This window comes from Homo sapiens, chromosome 14, assembly GCF_000001405.40.
Source record: "Homo sapiens chromosome 14, GRCh38.p14 Primary Assembly".
NCBI lineage: Eukaryota > Metazoa > Chordata > Mammalia > Primates > Hominidae > Homo > Homo sapiens.
In genome coordinates this window covers 90,178,146-90,186,420 of record NC_000014.9, presented here as the reverse complement: position 1 = coordinate 90,186,420, position 8,275 = coordinate 90,178,146, and the positions used below count along the sequence as shown (strand labels likewise).

Here is an 8,275-nt window from a genome sequence, read left to right as displayed (position 1 = left end):
CAGCCTCCTGAGTAGCTGGGATTACAGGCACATGCCACCATGCCTGGCTAATTTCTGTATTTTTAGTAGAGACGGGGGTTTCCCCATGTTGGCCAGGCTGGTCTCGAACTCCTGACCTCAGGTGATCTGCCTGCCTTGGCCTCCCGAAGTGCTGGGATTAAAGGTGTGAACCACTGCGCCCGGCCTTTCCTCATCAATTCTGAAAGGGCTGTGTTTGCACCACTCTTACCTTAGAAAAACAACAGCTATCATTTTTGAACACTGCTGTCATCCCCCCAAATGCATTCTCCTGTGTATATGAAGGTCAACAGCCTTTGTTCCTAGTGTGGATGATTAATCTAGTAGGGAGGTTATAAAACTAGAATCGTTACAGTCTCAGAAGGCACAAAGGAAAAAAAGCCGGATTTCATTATCTGGCCTAGAATGTTTCTCCAGTCAAGACACCAAAATGACGCTCATATCCGTGAAGGTCAATTTCCCATTTCCTTTTTCTCTGAGTCCAATAAATGCCTGTTTAATTAGGTGCTTGTCCTCCACTGGCCACAATGAGCACTCATGGAATCTTAGTTAATAAAATGAGGATTTATTAAATTTTCCATTTTATTAAATAGTCATCATCTTTGCATTGGGTCCCCAAGCCCTGGTAAAAATGAAATGGTCTGTGTGACCATTCAAAGGGAAAATGTTAAGCTATGTTCTTTAGTTACAAAAGTGAGTCTCTCCCCGTCCCACACCCCTACACCACCATCTTGCTGCAGTTTAAAGGCCTGAAGCTGAATTTAATTTTCTTATTACATTGAGGTCTCACAGACGCCACAGCCAGGCATTAAGGCCTTAAAAATAAAAAGAAAGGGACAACAAAAAACAGAAACAGGTATAAAGAGTACAACAGACATTTTCCCTATGCAGACACCATTGGCAGGTATGCTTTGAAGGAAGCCTGGCAAAAAGAAAGCCCAGACACATCCCCAAACATTCTCCCCACTTTTAAAAATTCATCCATTCAGAGTTCTAGGGAAAGATGAGTCTTCGCAATTTTTGTTCCCAAATAAGGAACAGAGAGAGCTTCAGGAAATCAAGGCTTAAGGAAAACCTATCTCCTCAGGCAGCTAAAGCTCTGAAACAAGATTAATGAAACAAGGCAATGTCTAATGCTGCTTTTGTGATTTGTTTTGAAAAGACTGAATTTAGACTTAAAGAATAAGGATCAGGAGACAAGCATCGAGGCTTCAGGCCCCCCATCCCTGGAAGGTGGCTGTTGGTTGGAGCCGAGATCAGATTTCTAAAGATGCTTGCGGAGGCTCCCGGGAACAGCTCCCAGAAGGAACAGAGCCAAGGCGCAGGGCTGAGCTCGTCCCCTGGGCGGCAATCATCCTCCATTCTACTCTGGCCTCTGCCCAGCATCCACTCCTGGCTTCTACCTGTCCCCACTGGTCTCTGCCAACCTGTTGTTCATGATTGCAAAGGCTCCCACCCCCCCTGAGAATTCATTGTCCCGGGCCAGTGTGCTGGTCTGGTGGGGGCAGCCGTTGGCCATCTCAGACAGTTGCTTCTGCAGGATGGCCAACGAGGCCTTGTTGGCTGCCAGCAAGTCCTTCATGGAGATCATCTCCCCTGAGAGCCGGCGCCCGTCCGTGTCACTCTCTGCCACCCCGTCTGTCTCTATGGAGATGTTGCAGCGGTTCCGGACGCTGCCTGGCATCACCACGTTCCTGCGTGATCGCAAGAGTCCTCTCTGGCATTGCGGGCAGCACCCGCTGTCCATTTTCCTCAGGATCCAGTTCAAGGACTGTTTGATGAGGATAGAGATGACATTGAACAAGGAGTAGATGCAGCAGACACCCATGAGGATGAAGACGAAGTTGGCAAAGCGATAGAGGCCTTGGCTCTCATAGTGGGCGTTCTGGCTGCTGACCAGGTCCCCAAAGCCAATGGTGCTGAAAGCCACAAAACAGAAGTAGAGTGAGTCAAAGTAGCTCCAGCCTTCAATGGGGGTGTACATGGCTGAGGCGCAGCAAGAGATGAGGATGGAGGCTGTGCATAGGATCAGCATGACGTAGTACACGGAGGGCTTCCAGCCGGCCAGGCTGTCCACCTCACACTGCCCCGCATCCTTCAGGCTCTCCTGGGGCAGGGCCCCTCGTCTCCGGAGCTGCCGCTGGTGGCACGACTTCATGATGTAGGCGATGATGGTGATCAGGCGCTCCAGGAAGAGGTTGAAGAACAAGATGGTGCTGGAACACCCAACAAGGCCGTAAAAGATCAGAAAGATTTTTCCTCCTACTGTCGCCGGAGTTGTCATCCCAAACCCTGCAGGAGAGAAAAATGAGAGAAGAGTAAGAGAAATCTTTGCTGTGAATGGGGTCTAGGTCTTGGCTTTGATGGCTGGCAAAGGACCTAAAGAGAGTTTCATAAAATCACTCAGCCTTAGTCTTTCTAGGAATGAGCAGGAGAATTCTCACCTGCTTTTGAAGACACTAAGTGTTGTTCAGAGCTAGGCTGCTGAAAGCCTGTGTGGTGCTATTGTGCAAATCAGGAGAATAGCACCTCATCCTCATGGTGGACACAGCCAGCAAAAAATGGCTTGGTGACAAGAATGTGGGCTGGATTTCAGCCTCCTTTCCCTTCTCTGCTAGATATCCTTGTACAGTCCACAACCTGAACAACCATACTCAACAGATCATGTTTAGAGAGAGAAGCAAAGGCTCATACAAAGAAGAGGCTTATACAGACTCATCAGAATTCATTTATTCTGCAAACACTTATTGACCTGGGGATAGAACTGTGGAAAAGACAGTTCTGGTCCCTGCCCTCATGGAGCCCTAGTCCAGTAAGATGATGATGATATTGTGTGGTAAGTGTGGTGCTAGAGGGAGTACAGGATTCTATGGGAACTCCTAAGAGGGGAACCCATCTAAGAAGTGGGGCTTAGAAAAGATGAAGCAGGGAGACCCAAAAGCTAAAGAGGAGTTAGGCAGGCAAGAAGGGTGTATGTGTGTGGTGGTGGTGGGATGGAGAAGTCGGGATGTTCCAGGCAGAGAAACAGCAGCCTCCCAAAGCACTGGGATTATGGGCATTTCTAGCATACATAGAAATGAGAAATTTGCTCAAGATCTACCCATCTTTTAAACAAAATTCTTCAAACACACACTTCATGCTTTTGGAATAATAACAGAAGTATTGGATGCTATACATTGATAAACTATAAAACGTTCATTTTGCCTTTGCCTCTAACTGTTCACATTTCCACCCTCCTGACCTTTCTACCTGTGCACACAGGCATACCATTAAGAATGCATATTGTAGAACAATGGATGTTACTAAGAAAAACAGAAATAGAAAAGAGAGCAATGATACATTCAGGATTTCTCATGAAAGGGCAATGAGGGTCAGCCCACTCTCATCAGAGGGATGAGGGTTCTTTCCAAGCAAATGATTCAGTAAACATGAGAAGGCTGATGGGTGGAGGGGTTGGCATCAGAGTCACTCTGACTACAAACACCATTAAAAAATAAAAAGAATACTGAGCATGCCTCCCTGAGTCAGTTTCTTATTAAAATCAAACCATCAAACCTCTCTCTTTTTTTTTTTTTTTAAAGAGATGGGATCTTGCTCTCTGTCCCACAGGCTGGAGTACTGTGGTGCAATCACACCTCACTGCAGCCTAAAACTACCAGGTTCAGGTGATCCTCCTGCCTCAGCCTTCCAAGTAGCTGGGACTGCAGCTGTGCACACTATGCCTGGCTAATTTTCAAATTTTTGTAGAGATGAGGGTCTTGTCTTGTTGCCTGGGCTGGCCTCGAACTCCTGGTCTTAAGTGATCCACCCACCTCAGCCTCCCAAAGCACTGGGATTACGGGCATAAGCCACCATACCCAACCCAGTTTTTCCTTATTTTCAAGTTCAAATTTCTAACTTGGGTCCCATCGTTTGGATCACAAGAGCTCTCTCATGATCCTCCCTCCTGATAATACCCCACTTGTCACCAAGCTGATATAGTTCCTTGTTGCTACAGCTCGGTCAACGGCTGCCTCCCAGTGCACCCTGGAAGTGTTCAGACCAGACCTTGAAATGTGTGGGCTTTTGGGGTTATGACCTGCTGGTCTGCTCAAGTCAAGCCAAGGGGCCACCTTTCCCAAACATCCAGGTGTGCATACTGTATTACCATTCAGAACTAAATACAATTTTCCTTTCTCAGCACACAAGGAGCTGCATTTGGGTAAGAAATTAACAGCATGTAGTCAGGAAACTAGAGGAAGATACCAAGTATAGCTTTTGAGCTAGATGGGATGGAAAGGAATTGCCAGGATGATTTGGGAAGGGAGGATCGAGGGACAGGGAATAGTTCCATTGAGAATTACTTAGGGCCCTTCATGCTAGACAGAAAATCAGACCATCATCTCTTCTCTGGGAACTCTTCAAAATCAAAGTCCCTCAGCAATTCTTGGCAGTGGAGGCTCAATGTAGACCCCAAAGCTGCAAGACCAGAGAGTATTGCTTCTGTAGTTACTAAACACAGGGAACTGAATGCAGCAAACAGGCAGAAAAAGGGGGAAACATTTGTCTGGGGCCATTTATTCTAGAAGCCGGATGAAGTCAATGAAAATAGGGAAGGTTCAGAAACATGAAGAGAGATGTGTGGGCTGGGGGAGGGTCCTTTCAGACAATTAGAAAAGAACATTCTCAGGTAGTCCTTACCTGTTTTAGAGGTGATTTAGTCATTCTACTCTCAGAAAGCTGAGCTACAGGAGTTGCTAGGGATTTGCTCCCAGCCAAAGTGATAGCAATAATTTACTGAGCACCTGTTAAGTTCAAGGCCCTCACTACATGTCTGGGCCACTGCCGTGGTCTGAGTGTTTATGTGCCCCCCAAATTCATATGTTGAGATCCATCACCCATAAAGTGATGGTATTAGGAGGTGGTGTCTTTGCGAGAGGTGAGTGTGGTGCTCTCATGAATGGGATTAGTGCTCTTATAAAAGAGGTGATTCATCCATTCCTTCCTCCCTGGGAGGACACAAGAAGGTGCCATGTATGAGGAAGCAGGGCTCTCGCAAGATACTCAACCTGCTGATGCCTTGATCTTGGACTTCCCAGTCTCCAGAATCATGAAAAATAAACCTCTATTGTGGATAAACCTCCCAGTCTTCAGTATTTTCTTATAGCAGCCCATGTGGACTAAGATGGCCAAAGAAGATGACACAGACATAGTCCTTGACCCCAGCATCCAAGGCTGAGACTAACTATCTACAAAACAAGCCACAGTGGGCTGGGCATGGTGGCTCATGCCTGTAATCCCAGCAGTTTGGGAGGCCGAGGTGGGCGGATCATGAGGTCAGGAGATCAAGACTATCCTGGCCAACCTGGTGAAACCCTGTCTCCACTAAAAATACAAAAATTAGCTGGGCGTGGTGGCATGTGCCTGTAGTCCCAGCTACTTGGGAGGCTGTGGCAGGAGAATCACTTGAACCCGGGAGGTGGAGGTTGTAGTGAGCCAAGATTGCGCCACCGCACTCCAGCCTGGTGACAGAGTGAGACCCTGTCTGAAAAAAAAAGAAAAAATCAAGCCACAGTGAGTCAAAGGCCAACACAGAAGCACCATGGAGTTATCTGGGTTTAGGGGCCCAAATGCAGCCTCACTTTGGGATGAGTGACATAGGCACAGACAGTGAAGTGCTGATGCCAGCAGATACACTTGATGAGCTGATTTTTCCAGTGAATGAGGTTTCTAGTGACATGTTCCAGAGATTTAACATTTCTAGATTCTATCTTATTTTTTTGGTTTTAACATATTCAATTTTGTTAAAGGAGGGATAATCATGACTTTTGGTTATCTACTGTTTGATGGATGACTGCCATCTCTCCTATCAGCAAAAATAACAGAAAATGGTACAAATGGTGGTATTTATGGAAGCAAAGGGAGACAGCTTCCTCATGTCTGCAGTTGGAGGTGTGAGAGGTGGTTTTACTACTCTCAGCGCTGAAAAGTGTGTAAGTAAGCTAATAATGCAGGCTTTTCCATAGAAACCCTCCCCTTTTTTGAGCCCCATAATGCTGAGAGTTGAAGATGGCTCAGATGGTGAATAATAACCCTCAGGGTCCTTTTTTGGTAGAGGAAAAGGGCTCAGGGATTATTATCAAAGGCCTTTCCTCTGCCAGCCTGTGTGCTTGTCAGCAACTCCTCACACCCACACTGGGGAGCTGGGTATTATTAGTCTACTAGTTACATTTGACAAATGAGAAAAAAACTACAGAAGCTGAGTGGTTTGCCTAAAGTCATAAAACCAGAATCAGAACCTAGATCATCTTGTCTCCCAGGCCTGTGCTTTTTTCCACCTGACTAGGCTGAGTGTAGCTCATTGTCATCACTGTCAAGGTACAAGCCATGAGCAGAACGGAGGGAAGGAAATTAGCCAAGTGTCCATAGTTCAATGCTTTATACAGACACCCAGACCGCAGTGGCTGCCAAACCTGGTACCAAAACCGGAGAGGGGGGGCAGGGTTTGGCTGGCATCACAAGCTAAAACCTTAAAATTTTCATGTACCAAAACATATAAAACATATTTCTGAATGTATATATGTCTCTTCCAACAAATGATATAATTACATCAGTTTAAAAGCTGTTATGCCCCATGCATTTCAGTCTCCCCATATTTTGTAGGTATACAAATGAAACTGACAGTCACAGGTGGTACCTTTCAATACGTAATATATTCCCTGTGCTTCAAGCCTGAAGTTATCTGATCGGTGTTCAGCCCGAGTCTGGGAGCTGATGAGTGGATCGAGAACCAACGGCGAATGAGATTGGCTTGGAGGCCAGTGAAACTCACAGCTGATTTGGTCTAGTTCCTTTAAATCATTTCAGACCTCTGTTAATGTGCTTGTAATTTCTGGGGCAGATTCTGGGACCAATCCCAGGCTCTCTGCTGTCCTTGGGGCTAGGAATAAAGCTACTAGGGACTGCCAAGGTCCCAGTCCACCCCCACAGAACACTTCACTCAGCCCATGAAGAGCAGGCCCATAGTCTCCCAGCCTTTTATGTATATGCTGTCAACTACGTATTTTTTTTCAAAATTCAATTAAGGTAAAAAAAAAAAGTAAAAGCTTTGTATTATGATATTTTTCAAACAGGCACAAAGGCAGAGCAGAAAGTATAATAAACTCCTATTTTCCAAATTATCAACATTCTGTCAACCATGCTTCTCCCATCCCACCCCAACCCATCCCCTTTATTTGCTGGTGTATTGTAAAGTTAATCCCAGATAACATACCATTTCTTTGATTAATAAAGACACATCTTTAACTGCCAAGGCCTTTATTTTTCAAACATAACCACTGTGCCATTACCATACCTAATGACATTAATACTAATTCCTTAATATCAAATAATACCCAGTCCATATTCAGGTTTCTCAAAATTATCTTTTTACGGATGATTTGTATGAATCAAGATCCAACAGGCTGCACCCACATTTAGCAGAGCTCTTCAGCCTCTTTCATTCATTAACAATCTCCCCTCTCATTTGGTATGCCCTTGATTTGTTGTGTCCTGTAGACTTTAATCAGGTTTTTTTTTTCTAGAAATACTTGAGGGTAGAAAAAAGCATTGTGTATTTCAAGAGTGTTCTTATATGCAGAGGCAACTCTCAAATGCTACACGAGGACATAAAAATTGGTATAAACTGTCTGGAAAGCAATTTGGGAATATGTGTCAGACACTTTTTTTCTGTTTTTATTTATATATTTATTTTTATTTTTCATTTTTATGGGTACAGAGTAGGTGTATCATGAGATATTTTGAGACAGGCATACAATGCATAATAATCACATCAGGCCCGGTGTGGTGGCTCATGCCTGTAATCCCAGCACTTTGGGAGGCTGAGGCGGGCGGATCACCTGAGGTCGGGAGTTCAAGACCAGCCTGACCAACATGAAGAAACCCCTCCTCTACTAAAAATACAAAATTAGCCGGGGTGGTGGCACATGCCTGTAATCCCAGCTACTCCGGAGGCTGAGGCAGGAGAATCACTTGAACCCGGGAGGTGGAGTTTGCAGTGAAATGAGATTGCGCCATTGCACTCTAGCCTGGGCAACAAGAGCGAGACTCCATCTCAAAAAAAATAAAAATAAAAAATAAAAATAATAATAATCACATCAGGGTATCCTTTTTTTTTTTTTTTTTTTTTTTTTGCTTTTAGGAATATGTCTCCCAAATTATGACTAATGTGACCAATTATGCACATGGATGTTCACCATGTCTTTACTTTTAATGATGA

General features: G+C 45.0%; 1 protein-coding gene across 1 annotated transcript in view, besides 1 other annotated feature; it reads right to left on the bottom strand.

Moving 5' to 3' along the window:
* Nucleotides 1-567: 567 nt before the first annotated feature.
* Nucleotides 568-8,275, bottom strand: part of KCNK13 (potassium two pore domain channel subfamily K member 13) — a 123,860-nt gene continuing 116,152 nt past the window's right edge. The window contains exon 2 of the mRNA NM_022054.4: nt 568-2,310. Coding sequence (NP_071337.2) covers nt 1,418-2,310 — 893 coding nt within the window. The 3' untranslated portion in view covers nt 568-1,417. The remainder of the gene's footprint in view (nt 2,311-8,275) is intronic.
* Nucleotides 1,611-2,112: an enhancer, noted in NCBI's record as "H3K4me1 hESC enhancer chr14:90650653-90651154 (GRCh37/hg19 assembly coordinates)". NCBI's record gives its function as "activates a minimal SCP1, AML or CMV promoter by ChIP-STARR-seq in primed H9 embryonic stem cells {active_cell/tissue: H9 hESC(primed)}" and the evidence as "EXISTENCE:reporter gene assay evidence [ECO:0000049][PMID:30033119]".